This window comes from Homo sapiens, chromosome 15, assembly GCF_000001405.40.
Source record: "Homo sapiens chromosome 15, GRCh38.p14 Primary Assembly".
Taxonomy (NCBI): domain Eukaryota; kingdom Metazoa; phylum Chordata; class Mammalia; order Primates; family Hominidae; genus Homo; species Homo sapiens.
The window spans coordinates 59,142,476-59,169,293 of NC_000015.10; the positions used below are offsets into that span (position 1 = coordinate 59,142,476).

Sequence of the window (26,818 nt, forward strand, 5' to 3'; positions counted from 1 at the left end):
CCTGCCTCCAGCTTTGACTAAGACCTGTTTCTGTCCTTCGTGTCTTCCTTGCCAGTTGTTTCCTTTCTAGGACACTTGGCCCTCATGCTAGCTCAGCTGTTATTAGTTCGCCCCATCCTCAACCTGAAAATCTTTCTAACAGCTTCTCTCTGCTCTTGGAAAAAGGACCAAAACCCTTCATGGCGCCTACAGACTCTGCCAGGGGCGGCCCCTGCTCACACCCCAGCCTTACTCCCTGCTGCAGGCCACATTGGTGCCTTCCTACCTTTCTTCATGAGCCCTGGTTGGGGAGAGGACCCTTGTCCACATACTTCAAGCTTACATCATATTTACTGGTGAAACTCACAATGATTTCCCCATAAGATCAGGAACAAAACAGGGATGTCAGCACTCACCACTTCTGTCCAATATTATCCTGGAAACTCTAGCCAGGGTAATTAGGTGCAAAAAAAAAAAAAAAAAAAAAAGGCGTCTAGATTGTTTTAAACTAGAGATCGTAAGTCTCATGGAACGGATTCTTTCTGGTGATAAGATACCAAATTATAAATAAGACCTAAGGGGATGCAGGACGCAAAAAGCTGTGTGTATGTGGCCACTGCGTGGTCTTTGATATCAAGGCATCAGAGGCTACTTCCTCAGGATAAGTGACTCCTGGCCAAAGTAAAACCTCCGAAATTACCCGGGGAATTTGGGGTCCATAATTGTCCAGGTTGTGGACAACTGCTACCATGCTGGCAGTGTAAGCCATTTGGCCCTTTATCACTAGGCTGAATGGGGTTCCTAGTAACTCCACAGGTGAGAGGTGGGGGAGGCCAGGGCAGCTTTGAGATGGGTGTGGATAGTGGGGACTGTCTGATGGCAGCCGGGAGGAGTGGGCAGGTGGGTGGAGGAGGGAGGACCTCTGCAGTTTGCACTTTGCATTAGGAAGGGCAACACTGATGCTGCCACCATTGGCTCTGTCTTGTGACCACAAAGAGGCACAGCTGCTTTGCTGGGGCGGCATATTCCCAAAGCGAGCCACAGTGAGAGCCATTCTCCCTGGCCAGCCTGCACATGTCTACACCCTTCTTGTGAGGGCTAGCAGACAGGATGTCTTCTGGGAAACTGCCGGTAGCTGTGTGAAGTCTGGATAAACTCCCCTCAACTCAGCCAGGCCTTGTCCTAGGCATTTTCACAGATGCTGCTTCATTTCACCCTCACGACACTCCTGTGAGATGACTGATGCAGGCTCCTGGGATTTCCTGCTGGTTTCATCCCTGGCCAACATGGTGGCACACGCCTAAGGCTCCTGGCACTGCAGCCACATGGAATCTTTCTGGATCCTTGGTCTGGCTATGCTCCCCTGGCCTCTGCCCACTTCCCAGGCAGCACTGCTAACTCCTGCTCGGCCTTCGGATCTCATTTCCATCACTGCTTCCTCATACTCTGGCAAACCCCCGGCCATACCCTCTCCTAGCCCACGGCTTCTCCAGAACATGGGTCAATTGTAGCATGACAGTGACTTGTGTGGCTATTTGGCTAACTCCCCCTGAGATGGGGCCTCAAGCTCTATGTTGACAGTGTGTAGCAGGAGGGGGACGTGGGCTTGAGTCTGTGTGCTGGGTTTGGGGCCAAGCTCTGCATCTGTAAAACCTGAGCAGATTCAGGCAATGGCCTAGGTCCTTTTTCTTTTTCCTTTTATTTATTTATTAATTTATTTTTATTTTTTTGAGACTGAGTCTCACTCTATGACGCAGGCTGGAGTGCAGTGGCATGATCTCGGCTCACTGCAACCTCCACCTCCCAGGTTCAAGCAATTCTCGTGCCTCAGCCTCCCAAGTAGCTGGGATTACAGGCGCCCACCACCACACCCAGCTAATTTTTGTATTTTTAGTAGACACGGGGTTTCACTATGTTGGCTAGGCTGGTGTTGAACTCCTGACCTCAAGTGATCCGCCCGCCTCAGCCTCCCAAAGTGCTGGGATTACAGTTGTGAGCCAATGCGCCCGGCCTCTTTATTTTTAGAGATGAAGTTTTGCCATGTTGCCCAGGCTGGTCTTGAACTCCTGGGCTTAAGCGATCCTCCCACCTTGGCCTCCCAAAGTGCTGGGATTACAGGTGTAAGCCACCGCACCGGGTTCCAGGTCTTTTTTCTGATTCTAGGAAAGTTTTACAGAGAGCTCTCAACAGCACTGAGGAACACAGGAAATCTGTGTCAACGAAGCCGTCACAATCTCTACGATTCACCAGACTGGAGACCTGGAAGCCACCTTGGAACACAGTTGGTGGGAACAGCCATTTTCCCAGACTCCAACAGCCTCGAAAACCCAGGCAATCTCCTCTGCGTCACTAGGTGGCAATCCTGTGTCATTAATGAGAAGAAAGAATGACTTTTTGTTTTGTTTTGAGACGGAGTTTCACTCTTGTTGCCCAGGCTGGAGTGCAATGGTACGATCTCGGCTCACCGCAACCTCCACCTCCTGGGTTCAAGCGATTCTCCTGCCTCAGCCTCCTAAGTAGTTGGGACTACAGGCATGCACCACCATGCCCGGCTAATCTTGTATTTTTAGTAGAGATGGGGTTTCTCCATGTTGGTCAGGCTGGTCTTGAACTCCTGACCTCAACTGATCCACCTGCCTCAGCTTCCCAAAGTGCTGGGATTACAGGCGTGAGCCACCGCATCCGGCCAGGAATGACTTTCAAAGAAACTGCCAGAAATTTGATTAATGAGGTCTTCTAGGCAGGTGGAGCCCCCTACTCCCAGCCGAGGCAATTGGCTAGTCCAGGAGGAAGGGATTACACACCCCCTTACAGGGCACATGAGACCCGCATGCCCACTGTGCCAGAACAGGCTTAGTCCAGCTTGCGAGAGCTGATAGAACTTTCAGGAATTTTGTGAGCCAGTTGTCAAACATGGCCATTATTAAAAACCAAATCATTGACAACAAAGAAATTACATTAAAACAAAAGCAATAAATGCTCATCATTTATCTCTTCCTACTTCTCACTGCAACCTCCGCCTCCCGGGTTCAAGCGTTTCTCCTGCCTCAGCCTCCCGAGTAGCTGGGATTACAAGCATGTGCCAACAAGCCCGGCTAATTTTTCTTTTGTATTTTTAGTAGAGATGGGGTTTCACCCTGTTGCCCAGGCTGGTCTCGAACTCCTGGCCTCAAGTGATCCACCCGCCTTGGCCTCCCAAAGTGCTGGGATTACAGTCGTGAGCCACTGTGCCCAGCCTACTTATTTTCCTCTATCTATGCATTTGAAGTTATTAAAGTCTATTGCTGATGTATGGTAGAAATACTATACAATGGTGAGACTGCCCATGTTTTCCCAACTCCGCACTCAGTAGTAGTCACACTGGTAGCTTGAAATTGGCCATGAAGAGAGAATTTTACCATGGAAACTGGTAAATGTTACAGTTCAGGCCTTTTCCTCCCTGGAGTGCCCACTGTTTACCAGCACACTACCATCCTACCATCCTACCATCCTCAAGCTGCCCTCACGACAGCACAGGCTCACTCATGTCTAAAAATGCCTTGCCAACTTTTGTTTCATTATTTCCTTATTGTTATTATTTTTAGAGACAAGGTCTTGCTATGATGCCCAGGCTGGGGTACAATGATATGATCATACCTCACTGCAGTCTTGAACCCCTGGACTTGGGCCATCCTCCTGCTTTAGCTATCTGAGTGCTGGGACTACAGCCATGTGCCACCATTTGTTTTATAATTGTACAACTTAGATAATTTTGGTAGGTCTGGTACTCTGTGATACAGTATTTGTATTTCTAATAAACATCACAGAATTGAAAATCGTGTTATAAAAATAATTATTTCATTGAGATAATGGTTGTTTTTTGTTTTGTTTTGTTTTGTTTGAGACAGATCCTTGCTCTGTCACTTGGCCGGAGTGCAGTGGAATGATCTTGGCTCGCTGCAGCCTCCGCCTCCCAGATTCAAGTGATTCTCATGCCTGAGTCTCCCAAGTAGCTGGGATTATAGGCACCTGCCACCACGCCCGACTAATTTTTGTATTTTTAGTAGAGACAGGGTTTCACATGTTGGTCAGCCTGGTCTCGAACTCCTGATCTCAAGTGATCCTCCTGCCTCGGCCTCCAGAACTGCTGGGATTAACGGCATGAGCCACTGTGCTTGGCTAGATGATGGGGAGTTGCAGCAAGATTTCAGACTCACAATAACTTATTTTTTCTTTTGACATTTCAATAATAAAGGCTCATTATATATATAATATATATTACTTATATTGTATATATTATTTATATATGTAATATACATATGTTAATATATGGTTATAAAACTATACATCACTGAGCAAATCCAGTGTTTCATTATATGTAATTTCTGTACAATCCAATTTAGTTTTCTTATTTTAGGGTAATTTGTACACATCACTTTATGTGTCTATTACCAATTAACATAAATGCACGAAAAAGCTGACCCACAGCAACTTCTTTTTGCACCAGGTTCTTTTTTCTGAGTAGGGCAATCACATTATAACCCAGAAACAAATAACATTTCCTGATGAATTAAGTACACTACATCCAGTTTGCTTTGTGAAAACTTGCTCTGCAAGAGAAGTCCTATATTAGTGACCAGAGAAGACCAAGTGATATACTTGCCCCGAGACATTTGGATGTCAGCTGACATTTGAGTCCTCATGGATGGCTGCCGAATCTCACAAGGTGCCAAAAGCCCACAAGAAAACAAAACCCCAAATGACATGAAAACTCTCTAAACTGAGGGCTAATTCCCTCTGCCCTAGCAATGTCCATCCTTTCCATGGGCTGTTCATTGTTATGATGACTGCAGCTCAGATGTTTAGTTAGAAAGAGACCGTGGAGGCCAGGTGCAGTGACTCATGCCTGTAATCCCAGCAGTTTGGGAGGCTGAGGTGGGCGGATCACTTGAGGCCAGGAGTTCGAGACCAGCCTGGCCAACATGGCGAAACCCCGTCCCTACTAAAAATTAGCCAGGTGTGGTGGCTCATGCGTGTAATCTCAGCTGCTTGCGAGGTTGAGGCATGAGAATCGCTTGAACGTGGGAGGCAGAGGTTGAGCTGCAGTGAGCCAGGATCGCGCCATTGCACTCCAGCCTGGGTGACAGAGTGAGACTCTGTCTCAAAAAAAAAAAAAAAAAAACAATACAAAAAAAAGAAAGGAAGAGACTGTGGAACGGTGCAGAGCCAGAAGGAGTTTGTGACTTTTCATCTTCAAATTGTCCAAATGAGGCTCTCATGTCTAGTGATTATTACCATTACTGCAGAACTCTGTGTGCCACTGATGCTCTGTGCCCACGGAGAACAGGCACAGCTGCCAAGGGTGTGTGTGTGTTGGGGGCGGGCGTCTCCCTGTCTGGTCTCCTTGTCTTGGCTTCCCTAGGCTGCCCATTCCCCGCATTACAGCCAACAATGCCTGAAGCGTAGACCTTCATGGAGTCCACAGCTCTAGGCAGGCCAGAGATTTGAGTTCTTGAGAATAAAGCCACTGGGCCAGGAAACATCACCTTTCAACCCTGGTAGAGCATTAAAATTTCCTTGCAAGACCAGCCAATGAATAATGGTAATGAATCAAATACAAAATAACTTTCAAATAGCATTGTGCTTTATAGCACACAAAGCCCTTATTTAACCTTCAAGAAAACCCTGAGGAGTGGGTTTTCAAAATTATTATATTAGTATCCCTATTATACAGGTGAAGACACCAAGAGTAGAAAGATTAAGTGACAAGCCTGGGGTAGCACATAGAAGGCACATGGCTCAGTAAATATTGATGAATAAAAGAAAAAGGAAAGAATGAATGAACCAGGACTCACCCTACTCTTACAGATGCAAATCCTGTGCTCTCTGCACTCTAAATGCCACCTTTTGTGAATTTCTCTGTAGCTCCCACACCTCCTGGGTGGGTGTGCCTAGTCTATGTCGGGGGAGCTAGGATTAAGCTTTCGAATATCACCTCTTTGTTCTGCAGATGGGAAATTTATGTCTTGAAATTCCAAGAAGGAAAATAATGGCATTTTATTTCACTGGCTCTTAAAAATATGCTGTGTTCCAAAAGGTTGAATCTATAAACATTACTGGAAATGTGGAAATGGATGCCAGGAATTCCTCAGCACCATGTCTGCCTGGGCCAGGATATGGCTGCTGCTCCCATAGATTATGGGTTGAGAAATATTGCTATTGGACACTTGATGGAAATTTTAAGCCCCATAAAAATATGACTCCATTGGGAGGATCTTGACAAGAGACACACAGGCAGCATTTAAATATTTCTATTGACCCCTCCTTTGTGGCATGCCCAGAAGCCCTACCACTGAGCACTTCCAAGACTTTTCTGTTTTTCCAACTTCTAGTTGGATTAATCTCTGGAGTATCTTGAAATTTCCTGAAGTTATCCTCCCACAAAATGGACCACAGGATTAAAAAGGTCAACAGACATTTCCAGTCTGGGTTTTAATGCTTCCAAGAATGAACTGCAGGTAGATTAGGTACATTTCAGTTATAGGAGGGAAAATTACAAAGCACACTGGATAGTGAGATCAGAGCAAAGGTGGGTGGATGAACTGTTTTTTTTTTTTTGTTTTTTTTTTTTTTTTTTTTTTGAGACAGAGTCTTGCTCTGTCGCCCAGGCTGGAGTGCAGTGGCCCAATCTCAGCTCACTGCAAGCTCTGCCTCCTGGGTTCACGCCATTCTCCCGCCTCAGCCTCCTGATTAGCTGGGACTACAGGCACCCACCACCATACCCAGCTAATTGTTTGTGTTTTTAGTGGAGACGGGGTTTCACCGTGTTAATCAGGATGGTCTTGATCTCCTGACCTCGTGATCCACCCACCTCGGCCTCCCAAAGTGCTGGGATTACAGGCGTGAGCCACCGCGCCCGGCCTGGATGAACTGTTAATAGGATTCTTGCCTAACCTCTTCCCTTTCCTTGAGAAACAGGAAAGATCTTTGACCTGAATTAAGACTTCTCAAAAGCTATGCTAATCGATGGCAAGATCCTGATTCCCACGCAGATCTCTCAGTGTTTCCTGGAGAATGATAATGATAGCTACCATGTGCACCAATACTGCAATGAAAGGGTAAAGAATCCAGTTGGGATGGTAATTAATTTAGTGAAATCTTCATGCTCTCTTCAGAACAACTGATTGAACCTAAAATAAACTGATAAAGACTTGCCTGAATTAACTTGAGGTGCTAATTACATCATTTGATTTTATCCATATTACATGATCCAAAATAAATTACAGAAAAAGTGCACTGAGGGATGAGAGAGAGGAAGGAAAGATAAACTCAGAATGTGAAAGCCAGGAAAGAAAGACCATAGTAATCCTACTTTTATAGATTGGTAAAGTCAAGGTGACTGTTTAGAACTTTGATGTATAGGAATTTTCATGTTTATGGAAAAAGTACAAACTTGGGATCCTAAAATTCCCTGCATGCTTCAACAGCCTCCTGTGGAATAAATGCAATTCATGTTTTCTTGGCAAATAGGAGAAGCTGTTAAATTTAGGTAACCATGGGGATCCATAAAATGCCACATCCAAAGTCTCTGGCCACATTAGATACTTTTAATTTTCACCTTTACATGTTTTAGAAAATAAATACTAAGAAAAGGCTGAGCCTTTTGCCCAAGGTACTATTTTGTAAGGAATGTTTGCACAGCAGATTTAAGGTTACAAAGAGGAGGCTGGCTAAGACACAGTGTGCCTACTAATTGTGTTTTACATACAAGGAAATCTTAATGCCTAGCAGACAGGTGTGAAGGTGTCCTCTCCTTCCGGCCTCATGGCCTGCCTCCAAGACAGCACCACGTGTACCCAGTCTTTAGGCTGGAGGGTGGCAAAGGGTGCCATAAGACTTAAATAGGGAACCACATGGCAGAGGGCTGGAAGGGAGCAGCCTTGGTTAAGACACAGTGTTCCTAAATTGCCTACTTTTGGCTGACAGATGCTCCCAGCTGGCTGATGTGCAAGTTTGCAACTTGCAAAGTAGGCTGGAAAGATGGTTTTGCTTGCCAAAACCAAAGTAAGTAGGCAGCTAGCACACAGAGCTAAGAGATTTGGTGCATTCTGTTGACTGCTTTTAATACCCTGCCTACTTTGAGGCATCAAACTGGGCCTAGGTGGGATTGTGACTTAGTGATGCTCACCCACCTGAAAGGTGTAGGTCTGGGTTAGAGAGCAAAAATCCCATAAACCTAACAGCACCCTTGCAATTCACCTTCACATGGAGGCTTCCCTGGCTTTATCAATCAGACTACAGGTGCCTTCAGACCAGTGGTTTTCAAAATGTGGTCCCTGGATCAGAGCATCACCTGGGAACGTGGTACAAATGCAAATTCTTAGGCCCTACCCCAGACCTACAGAATCAGAAACGCGGAAAGTGGGCCAGCAAGCTTTCCAGCGGATTCTACTGCACACTAGAGTTTGAGAACTACTGGTTTAGACCAAGCCAATCACGTGAACCACGGTCATGAGAGCTGGTGGGATATAGCTACTTACCCAAGACTGGGGGGTAGTGGAAGGGAAGAGGAGAGGGACACACACACACACACACACACACACACACACACACACACGCGCGCGCGCGCACGTGCACTTAGAGAGAGGTCTACATAAGGGCGGCATCCACTCTACTGATGGCTGTCTGTGTGATAAAACTAAGGTGCTTTCAGCTGGGCGCGGTGGCTCACGCCTGTAATCCCAGCTACTATGGGAGGACAAGGCAGGCAGATGACGAGGTCAAGAGATCGAGACCATCCTGGCCAACATGGTGAAACCCCATCTCTACAAAAAAAAACCAAAAAAATTAGCTGGGTGTGGTGGCACGCACCTGTAGTCCCAGCTACTCAGGAGGTTGACGCAGGACAGTCACTTGAACCCAGGACATGGAGGTTGCAGTGAGCTGAGATTGCACCACTGCACTCCAGCCTGGCAACAGAACAAGACTCCATCTCAAACAAACAAAAAACCCCCCCCAAAAAAACCAACTAAGGTGCTTTCATATTTGTAGCCCAAATGAAGTGAGATAAGACTTGCCAGGGCAAAAGGAATGCTGCTAGGAGAGAACATGGTAAAGCTCTTAAGAGCTCTGTGGTCTTTAGAAGGAAGCTGCCAAGGCAGGAAAAACATCAAATAATAGGGCATAAAGATGAATGAGGCCAGGCACAGTGGCTCACGCCTGTAATCCCAGCACTTTGGGAGGCCAAGGCGGGTGGATTACTTGAGGTCAGGAGTTTGAGACCAGCCTGGCCAACATGGCGAAACCCTGTCTCTACTAAAAGTAAAAAAATTAGGCTGGGTGCGGTGGCTCACATCTTAATTCCAGCACTTTGGGAGGCCAAGGCGGGTGGATCACGAGGTCAGGAGATCAAGACCATCCTGGCCAACACAGTGAAACTCTTGTCTCTACAAAAATACACACACACACACACACACACACACAAATTAGCCGGGCATGGTGGCAGGCGCCTGTAGTCCTGGCTACTCGGGAGGCTGAGGCAGGGGAATCGCTTGAACCCGGGAGGCAGAGATTGCAGTGAGCCGAGATTGTGGCACTGCACTCCAGCCTGGCAACCGAGTGAGACTCCGTCTAAAAAAAAAAAAAATTAGCTGGGTGTGGTGGTGCGTGCCTGTAATCCCAGCTACTCAGGAGGCTGAGGCAGGAGAATCACTTGAACCTGGGAGGAGGCTGCAGTGAGCCGAGACTGCACCACTGCATTGCAGCCTGGGCAACAGAGCGAGACCCTGTCTCAAAAAACAAAGCAACCAACCAACAAACAAAAAGGTAGATGGATGGCTGCCCCCTCAGAGGAAGGAGCTGTTGTTTCTCTTCCTGCACAGGTCTATTTTGCATTCATACCTCCTGATCCTCATTTGAAACTTCTCCATGGTGCTGGAGACAGGAGACAGTGGAAAATGGAAGTGGGCTTGAGAGAGGGGAAGAGAAGAGAGAGTGGGTGGGAGCAGGCCATTACTAGCTTTAGCAGACAGAGCCACTCCACCATGGAGAGTCGTGCAGAGCTGGAAGATTCCTTACAAGTCTCTAGTTCAACCTCCATGAAGTGACGGGGGTCCTTATGATCATCACCCTGTCACCGTCATTACCACCCTCAAGCTAGAGTTAAGTGAGCAGACGCCTGCATGCCAAGTACCATGCTAGAGATTTTATGTATATAATTTCTAGTCCTCCCAACAAGTTTGCTGCAAGTTTGATGGCATTACATTAGTGCTTAGACAAGGAAACTGAAGCTCAGAGAGAGCAAACAGCAGGTCCAGTGTTAGAGAGGCCTCTCTTTCCCCTTATCTACCATTTGACAACACTACTCTGAACACTCCTGCCTGGTGATCCCCATCCACCTGGTGCCTGGATGCTCCCAGGAACAAAATGCTGTTTACATACGAGGGCAACTCATATTTGGGTTGCTACGTTCTTCCTTTTACTGGAGCCAAAATCTACCTCCTGGCAGAGTTCACCAACTGGCTTTCAGTTGGCGCTAGTTCCATCCCTACGACTCCACAGGACATGTCTTAACCCCCTTTTAAAACTGATAGCTCTTTTAATATCTACACAGAGTTTCAGGAATCTTCACTTCCTCCGGCTAAAAAGGCTGGGTTCTCTTCACCACTCTTTATTTATATTCTAGAAAGGCAGAGAGGCTCTCACTATAAAGCCACAAAGACCCATATTCTTCAACAAATATCATATAGAATGCTGGGATGTTATGCTTAATGTTGCTGAAGACTCTTAAAGCTGTTGTATTTATGCAACTGCAGGCACAGACACAAATCAAAAGATCCATTATTCCTCAACCATGCAAGAAAGCACAAAGAGGTCACAGAGTAACCATATCTGGGGCCAAGGGGAACCCGTCTTCTGATGTTTCCAAGATAAGCCCTCTCTGGAGAATGAAATGAATTGTGTGCTATTAATGTGACTGTACCTTTACAAATAACCAGCCACAGCCCCACAGCCTTGGGTCCTGGCATATAGCACTGAGGTGGAAAACTAAACCTTAGAATCCTGTGTATTGACAGCCCACAGGAATCTCTGAACCCTTGTTTTGAATGATGGAGATGGAGCTTGCCGGCTTCATCCAGAGGATGTGAGAATCTTACCCTGCAGCTCCCTGGTCCGGGACCTTGAGGAAATCCAGGCTCTCTGGCGTCTGTGACACTCGGTCTGAACTGGTAGACTGCTGCCGAGGCAAGGGCGGGCGGGCCATGGAGGTGTACAGGCTTTTCTGATTGGACCTCTGGCTTCCAGGAGCATGGGGATATGGCACATACTGGTTTCTGATGACTCCGTTCTGATGGTATCCTAGAGAGAGGAACAGAGAAGGAAATAAGGCTCAGATTTTTGGATCCTTTGCCAAAAGTCTCTCCACATTTCTTCCATGTACTACAAGGGCAGCTTACTTAACTTCTGAGTCTCAATTTCCGCATTTGAAAAAAATGGAAGGCATCACTGCTAACACATTGTGAGAATTAGAGCTGATTCCCTGTTTTCCCCATCACCGGGCTTTACTGAGGTATAACTGACAAATAAAATTGTATGTATTTAACATGTACAACAATGCATGGTCAACTTCCCGGGATGTGCCCGGAACACAGCGGACACTCAGCACATGCTTGGTGGCAATAGAATCCCCAGATTTCCTGGGGTTCAAAGCCCACAGTAAGGTAAGCTTACAGCCGGCTGGGAGACACCTTCTTGGGCCTAAGAAAAATTATGAGATTATGACTCAAGAGGGCTGACAGGCAGCTGCTTAAACAGCTGGACATCCATTTTCGAGGGGTCAATCTTGGGCATCCACGGCAGGAGCCTGCTGTGTGAGGCAGAGGGGGTGCTCTACACAGGCAAGGGAAAAGTGGCCACCCAGTTGGATCAGTCCGGATGGAGCAAGCTCTCTCAGCCAAACAGCGATGTCTAGTTAAAATCGCATTAGCCAATAAGTAATGGGTTACAGTGGCAGGCTCCAAACCATGCGTCTTGGCAGACTCGGGCATTAGCATTCCATGCTACGTATGAAGAGGCCCTTATTCATTCTCCCACTGACAGATCTGGGCTGAGTGGAGAAAGAGAACAAGACTCTTCAAGGCCCACTTTGGTGAACCCTACCTAAAGACCTCTTCCAACCAAATTAAGAGAACTCTTTGGTACCAGTGGGATGACCCTTAGGAAAGGATTAGGGGTTCAGTTCTGGCTCTGCCTCTGAGAGCTATACTGATCATGAGCAAGAGAGTTGATCTTTCATAGTCTCAGTTCTTCATGAAAGAACCACGAGATAGGTCCAGAATCTGCTTGGTGGCTTCCAGCTCCGACAAGCATTTTCTCTATATCCTTATTATTGCAGAAATATTTCATGCCCAGTAATAATAGGTGGAATTCTTACTTTGAACCACGGTTTTATCAGGGTGGAGCTTTCAAGAGGGTGGCTCCTCATCCAGCCATGTCTCTAGCAATTTCCTCCCACAGGCCGTCAGACCAGATCAGAACTAGACATTTGGGGCAAACAGCTGCTCTTCATCTTACCTCATTCCCTCAGTGAGTGAGAGCTGAATGGGCTCCCACAGGGTCTGGGGATGGGGAGGGTAGAAGGACCCTGCTTGCTGCCTAGGGTCCCAACAAAAGGAGAGGGGCATCTTAGGAGTGTGACATGCCCTCGGGATGTCACATGGCCAGTGATAAAAGTGGGGTCCCCACAGGGGCTGCTCCACATGCTGCTCGAGATCCCCTTGTCCACGATAAGGTCAGAAATGAAGAGTAAGCATTTAGAAACGTTCATGGCAGTTTGACAGATCTATTTCATGCCTGTTGCATCTTATAATAAGACATTTTGGCTTATATTTTATATGTTTTGAAAATTCCATTCTTCTACTAATTCATTTTTATTGTAACATACAAATACATGGTTTGTGACGGACTGGAAATTTTTTAAAACCCCCTGAAAACTCCTGGTCTTTCACCACAGACAGTTTGAGAAGTGCTGGTCAAATGGATCTGGTCCCATTGTCTCATTTTTTTGATGAAGGAACTGTCATTTAGAGAGTTGGGGAGCCCTGCTCAAGGTCGGAAACTTTGTGGCCTGATTTGATCTGAGGCTACTTTGGCCAACCTAGCTGAGGCCAGTGAGCTTTCCAGGTGGACTTGGCCAGAATTCTCCACTGGAACCAGCGCACACGCAGTAATATGATACTACAGTGCTTCTCTTAAGTTCCTTTGTGCTTGGATTTTCTTCAAAGAAGAAAGGAGGAGACAGAGCCGGGTCAAGGCAGGATGGGGACTCCAAAAGAGATGAGAATTAGTTTCTCACTGCTGGGCCCCAGTGTCCATACTTTAGCATGCAATGGTGAGATTCCAGAGACTAAAGAAATGCCCTTTTCTGGGGGGAAGGTGGGGGTGGATGGGGAGGGGAGACAGACTCTCACTCAGTTACCCAGGCTGGAGTACAGTAGTGCAATCTCAGATCACAGCAACCTCTGCCTCCCCGGCTCAAATAATCTTCATGTCTCAGCCTTGTGAGTAGCTGGAATCACTGGTGCATGCCACCACGCCCAGCTAATCTTGAGACAGGGTCTCACTCTGTTACTCAGGCTGGAGTGCAGTGGCATGATCATAGCCACCTCAGCCTCCCACTTCAGCCTCCTGAGTAGCTGGGATTCCAGGCATGTGCCACCATGTCCAGCTAATTTTTATTTTTTAATTTATTTTATTATTTATTTATTTTTGAGCCAGAGTGTTGCTCTGTCACCCAGGCTAGAGTGCAGTGGTGTGATCTCAGCTCACTGCAATCTCCACCTCCCGGGTTCAAGCAATTCTCGTGCCTCATCCTCCCCAGTAGCTGGGATTACAGGTGTGCACCACCATGCCTGGCTAATTTTTGTATTTTTAGTAGAGACAGGGTTTTGTCATGTTGGCTAGGCTGGTCTCAAACTCCTGGCCTCAAGTGATCTGCTCGTCTTGGTCTCCCAAAGTGCTGGGATTATAGGCATGAGCCACTGCGCCTGGCTGCAGCTAATTTTTAAGAACATTTTTGTAGAGATGGGGTTTTGCTGTGTTGCCCAGGCTGGGCTCTAACTTCCGGTCTCAAGCAAGTCTCCTGCCTTGGTCTCCCAAAGTGTTGGGATTACAGGCGTAAGCCACCATGACCAGCCTCAAGAAATGCTTTTTACTCCTTATCTTGGACATTGGTACAAATAGAATTCTCTTGGCTGGGAAGACTGGAATCAAATACAGTCTCAAAATGACCCTATCAGACTTAGAATTCTAAACTGCTTAATACCAAACACTCTGGGAGTAATTTTTTATGAACTGAATTTTGTGAGTGATGGAAAAACATTAAAAGATTTTATGTATTTTTGCAAGCATTCTGCAAACACTACACAGATTTTTAGAGACAGAAAATCTTAGATTCAGGTTTAGAGTGTCTGGATATGTCAGTTATATTTTTACTATTAAAAATGAGAGGCCAGGTGCAGTGGCTCACACTTTCAATCCCAACACTTTGGGAGGCCAAGGTGGGATGACTGCTTGAACCTAGGAGTTCAAGACCAGCCTGGGCAACACAGTGAGACTCCGTGTCTACAAAGAGTAAAAAAAAAAAGAGCCAGGTGTGGTGGTGCGTGCCTGTAGTCCCAGCTACTCAAGGGGCTGAGGTGGGAGGATCACTTGATCCAGGGAGGCTGAGGCTGCAGTGAGCTATGATGGCACCACTGCACTCCAGTTGGGCAACTGAGACCCCATCCCAAAAAAAGAAGAGATAAATATGAAATATGAGCATAAATTTTATAACAATTTTGTAATACTCTCAGATATTACTTTGTTTTTTTGAACAGGCCTCCTGAATCCTAATCTCAGAAAATAAATAGAAAACAGATTTCTTCTATTCAGTCATTAAGCTGCTATAACTTACAAAATAGTAGCCCCCTCCCCTCCTTATCCATGATTTTGCTTTCCACTGTTTCAGTTACCCATGGTCAACTGTGGCCTGGAAATATTAAATTAAAGTTCCAGGAATGAACAATTCCTAAGGCTTAGGTTGTGTGCCATCTCACCCTGTCCCGCCAGGACACGAATCGTCCCTTTGCCCAGCCTATCCATGCTGTGTGTGCTACCCCATCATCAGTCACTAAGCAGCCATCTTGTTATTCATAATGGCCCCAGGAAGCTGGCAATTTGGGTATGCCAAAGAGAAGCCATTAAGCGCTTCCTTTAAGTGAAAGCGCTTCCTTTAAGTAAATTCAGTAACAATATATCTTCTATCTGTAACACTGTGAAGACAGAAAAAAATTTCTGCTGGTTTTGTGGAAAACTCAAACTGGAAAAGTATAGATAGGTTTTGGTAATATCTGCATTTTCAAGCCCCCACTGGGCGTCTTGGAATGCATCCCCCGAGGATAAGGGGGTGCTGCTGTAGTGGTATTTGGCCGGAGCTGGGTAGTGGTGGTGGGGTTAGACCTGTAAACTCCTATTTCCATAAAGCAGCATCCTGTGTCTTAAAAGCTGACAACAGTCTGGTTGTTACGGACAAGGAACTCCTTTCTCTCTGTCAGAAGCCTTTCCTAAGGGAGTAATATTTCGAGGTAATGAAATCCAGATTGCAAACTCAGCCGCAGTTCAGTCTCACTGACTCCTATTTTTCTGAATTTTGAGGTCTCAAGTAGGGCTGCTGTGTTGTACATGTGGCACTGAAATGGTCCATGCCTGGTTAATATGTGTGCATTGATTTGCTAATGGGTTTCTTCCCAAACATATTTTATAAGTTATGGGTCCAGATTTAGTGGTCCCAGACTACGGTACGTAGCTGGCTTACCTGGGGGAGGAGGGGCAGCTCTCACTGGGTAGTTGGCATTTTGAGTCCCACTGGAATAACCTGTATTTTGGGTAGTGTTCCTTCTGGTAGGACCTGAAATAAACAAGACAAAGTTAAAACCAGTGCTACTGGTTGGTTTTATGGATCCTCATGGTTCTTTGCATATGGAAAATTTTTGAGAAGCTTGGATTCCAGCTCTCAGGTGGATCTGCAGGAGAACAGTTGCAGTGGAGAAGGAGCCGTTGAGGGAAGTATGTAATGGTAGCTATTGGGTGGGAGGGGCTGGAGGACAGGGTTATAGAGGTACAGTTTTGAAATGTTAGAGACAGTGGTTCTTAAAGAAGGATTGGTCATCTTACAAAGGTGTTTCTATTTTTACAGACTTTTAAAAGAGACAGATGGAACATTTAAACATTTGCATTCATGTTCTAAATGCTAAGTGGCTGAGCAGGTTCACTAATGCTGCGGATCAACGGGGTTGGCATGAAGCCCGTTCTGGCACTGACTGCACACCTGCCTACGTCAAGCGCCTTGCACGCAAGAGTGTGTGTTCTACGGTCCTTGAACTAAACACAGACCACAAGGAGGAGAAGCAGACTTGTACCCTTGACACAGACATGAAGGAATGAGGAACAAGCTGGGGCCAAAGGAACACACTGTGGGTCACAGTCAGGGCTGGACAGCAGGGCCAGAGGAGCCAGAGGAGATCTCTGCAGAGACATCTATGTGGGGAAGAAAAACAATAGGGTCTTGAATGGAACAGGAAGGAAGGTAGGATTAAACCAGCTGGAAGAGGGGTGCAGAGGGAATTTCTTATAAAGAGAAGAGCTGAAGAATAGAGAAGGGTAGGAGGTGACAAGGTGCACAGTGCAAACACAGCAAAGGAGCTGCAGCTCTAGGGCCTGGGAGAACCGACCACGTGGGATCGGGGCAAACCCAGTGTGGCCTGCTGGACGCTTCCCTCCCAGTACCTAGGCCACTCTCGCCACCCCAAATAAGATAGAATCCAACACCTATTGGGCAATTTCCCCTCGGGGGCCCGCCGCACAAACATAGCCTGCTGGTTATTTGCAGCCTTTCTTTGCCCGGCTCTGTGCCCTGGGGTCTGAGTCCTGTGGACAGCCAGGCCTCTGCCTTCCAGTGGGGTGAGGCCTATAGGCCAGGCCAACAGGAGGCACTGGAAGGAGACTGGAGTGTCAGGAGGGAGGTGGGGGACTTCATGTGCCTCCTTCCTGACTGTAGCCTTCAGTTCACCTCGTTCCTCCCTCTGCTGCTTCAGGTTTGCGGATAATAATGATTTCCTGCCACTCCCTTTCCCTGGGTCCCTACTTTGTTCCCTAAACCCCGTCCACATCTTTTCACTGAAAAATCGCTTCAGAAATCCCTCCAAAAGTTGCTGTCTGTTTTCTGCAAGTACTAACGGATACACAGACATACATCAACATTTTCTGAGTGGCTCTACATATATAAAGATATGATGGCATTTGCTGGTATTGTATTAATATGTTAGAGAACATGTTAAGGTGTACCTTTGCAGACAGATTTGAGAAATGGCTAATTAATTAATTAATTTTTGAGATGGAGTTTCGCTCTTGTTGCCCAGGCTGGTGTGCAATGGCGCGATCTCAGCTCACTGCAACCTCCACCTCCTGGGTTCAAGCAATTCTCCTGCCTCAGCCTCCCAAGTAGCTGGGACTACAGGCATACGCCACAACACCTGGCTAGTTTTTTGTATTTAGTAGAGACTGGGTGTTGGTCAGGCTGGTCTCAAACTCCTGACCTCAGGTAGTCCGCCTGCCTCGGCCTCCCAAAGTGCAGGGATTATAGGCATGAGCCACCGTGCCTGGCCTAGAAACAGTTATTTTATATAAGGCATCTTCATGTGTGTGATCACACACAGGCTAAATCTTAGAACAATATCACAGTATATGCATACATAGCATGTATGATTATTCTATGCTGTGTGCTATAGATATAAGTTTATAAATATCAATTATAAATACAAAAATAAAGGCCAGGGAAGGAGTTAGACTGGGGTTTGAGGTAGTGCGTGTGTGTGTGTGTGTGTGTGTGTGTGTGTGTGTGTGTGTGTGTATGGTGTTTTATTTCTTTTTCATCTTCTTTTTTTTAATGAGGCAGGGTCTTGCTCTGTCACCTAGGCTGGGGTGCAGTGGCACCCCAGTAAAGATCATGATTTACTGCAGCCTTGACCTCCCAGGCTCAAGCCATCCTCCCACCTCAGCCTCCGGAGTGGCTGGGACTACAGGCATGCACCACCATGCCTGGCTAATTTTTACATTTTTATTTTTGTGTGTGGAGACAGGGTTTTGCCATGTTACTCAGGCTGGTCTGGAACTCTTGGGTTCAAGCGATCGTCCGGCCTTGGCCTCCCAAGGTGCTGGGATTATAGGTGTGAGCCACCACGCCGGGCCCAGTCAATTTCTTTAAAGGTGGCATAGAGGATGATGTTGGTATTGTGGACAAGATCTGACTGGAAAGGGAGGGGAAATTTGAAGCTAACAAACTTTGATTTGTTTTAACCACAATATTGTAATGCCAGGTGTACTGATACATAAGTACTAAGTCCCTCAGAAACTTTTAACCTGCTCATTTTCCTTGCTGTTGCTTTAGTTTGAAATGTTCCATTCTGAAGAAAGCGTGAGCCCCAGCAAGCAGAAGGTGTACTGATTCTCAGCCCCCACATCTGTGCACATGTTTGCAGCATTTGCTCGGGAGACTCGGGGGAGCGGCGGCAGTTCTGCCTGCAGGGCCCGTGGAGCACTTACGGGAGTTCTTGGGCAGTCCAGGTCCGATGCTGACCTGCAGCACTTTGTTACTGGGCTTGAGGACAGCCAGGTCCCCAAACCCTTGGTGGAACTGCACTTGCCGGGAGCCCCCTGCACTCCAGGGGCCCCAGTTTTCCTTTTTCAACTTCAGTTCAAGCCTGCAAAAAGCACAGTGGGGTTAACAGGTCGAAGGACGCAGTGAGAAAACGGTGCTCAGAGATCCCGCCACGGAGTTCTGCTGCTGGAAAAGCATAAACATGAGGCGAGAACGGACAATCTACACCAGGAGCAGGGCCCTGAGGATGCGCACCGCATCCATGGGGTGGCACTGTCGCTGCATGACAATGAGCCAGAAAAAGGAGCATCTGGGGCCCGGTACCGTGAGACACCAGGTGGTGAGGGAGGTACATCTGGCTAATGTGCCAGTGCCACTCTGTCAGGTGGTCTCAGAGGCGCCTGCTGAGGGGACAGAGGAAAGAGACAATTTCCAGGTCATACCGCTGTGCTGTCATTGTGCTTCCAGCTGTTGTCCCTGATTCTGTGCTTGTGGAGGACTGAGAGATGCCAGACACAGGCCAGCTTGAGGACTCTAGCATAGAACCTGGCTTTGTTTAGTCCTGTACTATTCTTGCACCATCACAGCCCACCCAGGGATGGAAAAAGACACACACTAGCAACCAAAATCCAAATAGAAGGCAGGATTTACCTGCAATTCCCAAACTCCCCATCCAGTTTTAATGCTTCTATATTGCATATATGCCTGTATTATGCAATCCTTATTCTGTTTTTAAGTTATATTTTCTGATATCATAAGAAGGAAAAATCATAATTTTAAGTAGCTGCCTATTATAAGTTTCCCTCATCATGATATAAAGGCTTTGTCTTGGCCTTATTTTTGTAGCTAGGAAAAGATGGAGGATATTCCCATTTTATAGATGGGGAAATTTAAAAAGAAAAGCTAAATAACTTTCTTTCTGTGTTTTAGACAGGGTCTTGCTCTGTTGCCCAGGCTGGCGTGCAGTGGTGCGGTCTCAGCTCACTGCAACCTCTGCCTCCTGGGCTCAAGTATCCTCCCACCTCAGCCTCCCGAGTAGCTGGGACTACAGGCATGCACCACCATACTCGGCTAATTTTTTTTTTATTTTTTACTTTTTGTAGAGATGTGGTCTTACTATATTGCCCAGACTAGCTAAATAACTCTTACTCAGCAAATATGAGATTAGAGGGTCAACAGTATGCCAGCCAGTACCTGGTCCATTAGATCATGTTGCCAAAAGAAATGAAGGTGAGGCTGGGCATGGTGGCTCAAGCCTGTGATCCCAGCACTTTGGGACGCCGAGGCGGGTGGATCACTTGAGGTTAGGAGTTCAAGACCAGCCTGGCCAACATGGTGAAACCCCGTATCTACTAAAAATAAGAAAACATTAGCTGGGTGTGGTGGTGAGCACTTGTAATCCTAGCTACTCAGGAGGCTGAGGCAGGAGAATTGCTTGAACCTGGGAGGCAGAGGTTGCAGTGAGCCAAGGTCGCACCACTGTACGCCAGCCTGGGCAACAGAACGAGACGCCATCTCAAGAAAAAAAAAAGAAAAAAAAAAAAAAAGAAAGAAAGGTGAACCACCTACACAATACGTTGGCCACCTATAGTCCTCAAGCCCCCGGAGGCTCTACCAATAAACAGGTTTTATTATGCATTGGTTTGGGGAATTTAAACCCCCACCTCTGTCACTTTTATCTGCTTCCAGTGTGATTCTACTCCTGTCTGCTCTCCTAAATTAAAAAAACCCTTTTTTGGGTGATACATAAAAATCTGCCTTTGTCTGCCTCATTCAGGTGATTTTTGTCTAAATGATAAAATACACTAGTCTATGAAGTCATTATTTCACAGAAATGCAAAAGTAACCTTTTCAAAGTCTGTGACTACTATCCAGACTGTCTTCTGCAGGCTCTAAGGTTCCACTGGGGCCAGCCAGACCCCACTCTTCTCCTCGCAGGCCTCCTCCAGCCCCATCCTGAATCGCAGGGGTGCGATCAAGACCCCTTTTTAGCTACACGCAGAAGTCTGGGTCCCAGATCCGGACTTACGTATTGCTGAATTTCAGAGGTAGTTGCTTCTGGGTCTTCTCCTCGTAACGCTTTGCTAAGAGGCTTAGGAATTCAGTTTTGAAGACAGATTCAAGCAAACTGTCATACTCTTGCTCATGGAGAATAAAAATGTCATCCTGCATAGTACTGTAAAGAGATTGGACAAACACACTTGGTGAAAGCTGTGCTTCTGTTTACTCTATTGTTTTTTTTTTCTTCCATTTTAAAAATCCTGCAAGATAGTGCTAAGATTTTACAGTCTTTCTTTCTATAAGTAATAATCTTTCAAACAAAACCAACAACAATGAATTACATAATGAAATTGCTGAAATCTGCTTTCAAAGAAGGTTTATAGTCCAACAAAAGCATGATCAAAGTACTTTTTCCACATGATTTTTACAATCAGGAACTTAAGGACAATTTAGCCCATATTAAAAAAAAATCCATTTTCAAGTCCAACTTGTGTTTTTAAGATCATAAAAATCCAGAAAGTTATGAATAGAATGCAGTTGAAAAGGGATGACTCTACATTTAAGTTCCAAGTTAGTATAATTTATGATATGGTTATAGCTATTGTAGTAAATTTGAACTTGAAGAATCATAAGCTCGGTTCTCAAGAGGGAAGCCAATATCCTGGACTTCAAGGTACTTATTAAGAACCTTCTGGCAAACAGTGCTCTGTGGACACTGTAGGCCAGGAGCTACTAGAACGTACAGACACATCCAAGTTCAGAAATGCGAAGGCCAGAATGGACAAACAGCAAACAAGCAAAAATCATCACCTTCAAGCTAATGAATTTTGTCAGACAAGGAAAGAACACACCTTTGCGGGAACTGCATGTTTGGACAGGGTGGGATTGTGGAGAAATTTATGCCTGGAGGGGAGCAGGTGTTACAAGCTATAGGGTGATGGCAGAGAGACGCTGAGGCAGACCCAGCTCCGAGGAAACGCTTGCTGGTCAGGGGAGGTTGATGAGACAAAGTTCCATCTTCAAGCCTGGCTAGGCTTGGTAGAAAGCAACAACATGTATGTAATTGAGAATTTGCATTCCCTGTTAGATTTATCACTCAGGTGAATGGGGCCACCACCCCAAAGACTATAATATATAAGTTTACGAGTATCTCCAAGTACCACTGCCAAATACCAAAGACAACCCTTTGAAGAATGAGATTTCGTTAGGGATTGTAAGCATTTTCCCAGGCATTAGAAACAAATTAGGCAAACCTGCTTCAGTGAATTGACCATGGTAACATTTTATTCTCTCCAAGTGCCACAGACACGGTTCTTTGTATATCCAGAGCCCTGCAGCATCACTCAGGAGCTCTGCTCTGCTCTCAGAGCACCTGGTGTCACTGCACCAGTGGGATTACTGTGGCTGTGACAAAGCCAGATGATGAGGCAAGGGGATCACAAGAGGACTGAGCTGTGGAGAATCTTTGAGACCCTGGATCCTTCTTCCATGTAAAATCTGATCCATTTAGAAGGAAACTCCTGTGGTATCCCTGTTCAGCCCCATTCACAGGTCAAGGTAGGGGTTGGGCCCTTCTTGGAATGACAGGGCTCCCTTGGGCAGAGAATCTTGGGGGACTATCTCAGGCTTGTCAGGAACCTTCTCTCCAGACTGAGACAGGGAGCTAGTGACCCAGAGGTGATGGAGCCAGTAGCTGTAGCCACAGCCTCTACCTTGGTCTGATGTTGAAACTCATTCACCAATGTGCTAGTATTAAGAAGTGTGGCCTTAAGGAGGTGATTAAGTTACAAGGAAGAGGTCCTCATGAATTGGATTAGTGACCTTACAGAAGAGGTATGACAGAGTGGTTTGCCCTTTCTGTCATTCTCCCATGTGAGGACACAACAAGAGGCGCCATCTATAAAGAAAAGACTGGGCCTTCACCAGACACCACATCTGCCTGCACCTTGACCTTGGACTTCCCGGTCTCTAGAACTGTAAAAATTAAATTCTTACTGTTTACATATTACCCACTTTCAGTCCTCCTACAGGAAAGGGGCTTGGTAATCCACAGGAGAAAAAGAGGTCGAAGGAACCACAGCACAATTGGATAGGAAGGCGTAGAATGGCAGTACGCGCAAACCATGGGGGTGGGGCGGGGCGGTGAATGGAGTTCACTGGAAGCAAGAGGCCAGTGTCAGGGGAAAGGAGCTTGGTCCTTTCATGGCCAGCTTACTGAAGAGCAGCCAAAGAGTTTCCCTTGGACGTAAAGTCAGAACCCTTTACAGTGTTTTTTGGACAAATAATAGCCATTTGGGTGGAACACTTGGTCATTATCATTACCTCAGATGTTTGTTTTCAGACATCCACACATCATAGCCATGCTTCTTGCCCACTCCTGTGATAGTTGGGATCAAGGATAAACCCTGACAAGCAGTGGTTTAAACAATAGACGGTTTTCATCTCCGTCACTCAACAGCTCATGCAAAGGCAATTCAGGGCCAACGTGCCAGTTCCATAGTGCCTGGGAACAAACACCTCCTACTTACCTTTAAAGGTACAGCCAGCAATCTAAAACCCCAAAAAGCACTTATGAAAAGCTGCTCAAAAGAGCTCTTCCAAGTCATTTTGAATTAATAAAGTCTAAGCCTCCTGGCACCCTAGCCCAGGTGTAAGAACCCGGCTGCATTAGGTAGAGTGCATGCAAAAGACCAGAGTAAAACAAGAAGCTCCACTTTTTGGCCTTTGGGGTGAGGAATGAAACGCCTTCCTGTTTTGGTTGTTTGCTCAAAGCTTTCTTTGGCATGTCTGGTCATGCCTGGTGGCCTGGCTGAACTGTGGCAGGATGGTGATTATTCAACAGGGCTAAATGAGCCCAACACAAGTCACCTTGAGTGGTTTAATGGGCTTAGATTTATTAGGAGTTTCATTACTATTATAACGAAAAAAGCAAGCAGGCCAAAACTTCAAGGTCAATTATCAGCATGAATCTAGAAATGAGAAGAGATGTGTTTGGACACTTTGACTTTAACCAACAACTCCAAAATCCCCTCCCTTCAATGATCCAGGCATTGGAGCTAGGCAGACCACCTTCACCCAGGCCAGGGTCTCAGCTCATTCTGCTCTCCTTAGCCCACGCTCCTGAACCTGAAAACAAAGCTTTCGTGTTTATTTATTCTAAAAAGTCAGACTTATCTTTGGACTTCACCCCTGACTTATTCCTATGCTGCAATTCCTTACAGATGTTTGACGCTGTAAGCTGTGTTGAAAGACCTCTTCCTAGTCTCTGGTTTGGATCTGCCCTTGTTTTTTTATTCCTCTGTCTTTGCGGCTTACTGTTGTATTGCTGAAAACACTAGAAAATCTGTTTTACTCTCTTCACCAATATATCTTTTCACAGAAATGTTAGTTACAAAACACCAAGGAAAGTCCTGAAGGAGTTTTGTTTTTTTTTTTTAAAGCTGAAAAGGCAATTTCCAAGGATAGCCCTGCCTTTATTTAAGCTTTTATAAAAGTCTTTCCTGATTATGAAATATATGCTGCTTTTAGGAAACTGGAAGATACGGAGGCGAATCAAGAAGAAAATAAACCTTGCCCAGAATTCTACCACTCAGAGAAACCAGTGGCACCAGTTTCAGAACCTTCTTAACTTCTCTGAGAAAGCCCGGACGCAGATGCAGGCCTCAGCAGTGACGTGTCCAGCTCAAAGAAGCTTCACCTGACCCGCAGATGCAAAGACCCACTCTCCTCTCTTGTGTCCCAGGAATATCCTTTAAATCACGCTGGGAACACTTATAGTAAGGCACATGTTTACTCAGCTGTCTGTTCCCCCTTCCAGAATGAGAGGAGCTTCCTGAGGCAGTGACTGTGCCTCATCCACCTTCGAATACCAGGGCTCAGCACCAGGTAGGTGCTCAATCCCATGATGTTGACAACTTCCAGGTTCCCAATGCTTACAGACCATAGCAAGTCAAGATGCCAGTAATGCTTCAGGTCAGCAGGACAGGCAGTGAAGCGGGCTGTTTTTATTGCCAGAAAGTTTAGGGGATTCAGGCAAGGAGACATTCTGGGCAAGAATGTTGTGACCAGGGAGCTGGAGCCTCTGTCTAAAAGCACCGTCTTACGGGTTGTTTTTCCAATTGGAGATAAGTACTGGAAAATCTATTAACCCAGACAGACAGCCACACAACTTTTGGTCTCATCCTTCTGGTGATCAGCCACCAGAATGAGAAGAAAAATGAGAAGCCTCATCAGAGACCCCCAAATAAGAGCTTCCATGGCACCGAACTCAACACCTACAATAGCAAAGCCAAGAACATGGGTCATTACACCTGTGGTCACCCTTCCTGCAATTGAGTTTTTCAAATAAGAGTGGGGCCAGGCCAGTACTTGAACAAGAAGCAACTCTGGGAGGATCCTTCAAAAACCCAGGCATGGCCTTCTGCCAGCAGCCACCATACACTCAGAAATCCCGTGTCTCAACTCTGTATTGGTGTGTCACCTCCTGACACTCTTCCCGAGTCTCCAATGAAGCCAGAAATGCAAGCGTCAGTGTTTCACTTTAATTTTTATTTATTTATTTATTTTGAGACGGAGTCTCGCTCTGTTGCCCAGGCTGGAGTGCAGTGGTGTGATCTTGGCTCACTGCACCCTCCGCCTCCTGGGCTCAAGCGATTCTCCTGCCGCAGCCTCCTAAGTAGCTGGGATTACAGGCACACACCACCATGCTCAACTAATTTTTTTGTATTTTTAGTAGAGAGGGGGTTTCATCATGTTGGCCAGGCTGGTCTTGAACGCCTGACCTCAAGCAATCGGCTCGCCTCGGCCTCCCAAAGTGCTGGGATTACAGGTGTGAGCCACCACACCCAGCCTAATTTTTATTTAAATAAGGATTTTTCCTGATCAAATTATCCTGGAGTCCCTTTGACAAACTATTGTCTTAATATCTCTCTGAGCTATTGGCCCTATTTCTACCTGTTGGGATCCTATTTTTTCTTGTAAATGAAAACTTCAAAAAAATTTTTAACCGTAACTCAACTAGACATATATCTGTATGTTTAGAAAAGATAAAGACTTCTAAAAATTTAACATCTACTGGAGGATTAGAAAAACATTTTATTATGGAAAATTCTAAATTGTAAACAAGTAGGATAGTAGGGCCAGGTGCAGTGGCTCATGCCTGTAATCCTAGCACTTTGGGAGGCGAGGTGGGTAGATCCCATGAGCCCAGGAATTGGAGACCAGCCTGGGTAACATGGGGAAACCGTGTCTCTACAAAAAATACAAAAATTAGCCAGAAGTGGGGGTACATGCCTGTAGTCTCAGATACTTAGGGGGCTGAGGTGGGAGGATTGCTTGAACCTGGAGGGCGAGGCTGCAGTGAGCCGAGATTGCGCCACTGCACTCCAGCCTGGGTGGCAAAGTGAGACCCCGTCTCAAAAAAATAAAAAGTAGTATAGAATGAACCACCACATGTCAGATTTCAAGCACCAATTCACGGATAATCACAATTATCTACAACCTCACTCTCCCTGCTTCCACTTTAAAATAACTACCAGGCTGGAGTGCAGTGGTATGATCATGACTCATTGCAGCCTTGACCTATTGGGCTCAAGCAATCCTCCCACCTCAGCTTCCTGAGTAGCTGGGACCACGGGCACGTACCACCACTCCTGGCTAATTTTCACATTTTTTGTAGAGATGGGTTCTTACTATGTTGCCCAGGTGGGTCCCAAACCTCCTGGGGTCAAGCGAGCCTCCTGCCTTGGTCTCCCAAAGTGCTGGGATTACAGGCGTGGGTCACTGCGCTCAGCCTTTATTTCATGCTCAAATGTTTCAGTACATATTATTAAAAGATAAAGTCTCTTTATATTAAAATTAACCACAAAACATTATCATACCTACAGAAATAAACAATAAATTCTTCATACCAAATATTTAGTCATGCTCACATGTTGTCTTGTAACTGTTACTGAATGGTTGGTTGGTTTGAATAGGGAGCTGTAGGCCCACTGTGCACTGACATTAATTGTAAGAGCTAGAGATGGGCTAAGATCAAGCTTATGGGATACTTTGATAAATCGTAACTAGGAGGCCATATGTTGATATCATTCCAGCCAATAGTCAACTGGTCAATCTCAGAAATTCTTAAAAACACATACAGATGTTGCAGCTTTTTTCCTGAAG

At 46.1% G+C, this 26,818-nt stretch overlaps 1 protein-coding gene across 1 annotated transcript in view, besides 2 other annotated features; it reads right to left on the bottom strand.

Moving 5' to 3' along the window:
• MYO1E (myosin IE) overlaps positions 1-26,818 on the bottom strand; it is a 240,438-nt gene that overhangs the window by 10,042 nt on the left and 203,578 nt on the right. The window contains exons 23-26 of the mRNA NM_004998.4: positions 20,682-20,828; positions 18,598-18,755; positions 15,812-15,904; positions 11,115-11,316 (exon numbers count right to left, since the gene is read on the bottom strand). Of these exons, the coding sequence (NP_004989.2) occupies positions 11,115-11,316; positions 15,812-15,904; positions 18,598-18,755; positions 20,682-20,828 (600 nt within the window). The remainder of the gene's footprint in view (positions 1-11,114; positions 11,317-15,811; positions 15,905-18,597; positions 18,756-20,681; positions 20,829-26,818) is intronic.
• Positions 18,658-19,159: an enhancer, noted in NCBI's record as "OCT4 hESC enhancer chr15:59453332-59453833 (GRCh37/hg19 assembly coordinates)". NCBI's record gives its function as "activates a minimal SCP1, AML or CMV promoter by ChIP-STARR-seq in primed H9 embryonic stem cells {active_cell/tissue: H9 hESC(primed)}" and the evidence as "EXISTENCE:reporter gene assay evidence [ECO:0000049][PMID:30033119]".
• Positions 23,437-23,486: an enhancer, noted in NCBI's record as "active region_9486". NCBI's record gives its function as "activates an Ori minimal core promoter by ATAC-STARR-seq in GM12878 lymphoblastoid cells {active_cell/tissue: GM12878}" and the evidence as "EXISTENCE:reporter gene assay evidence [ECO:0000049][PMID:35858748]".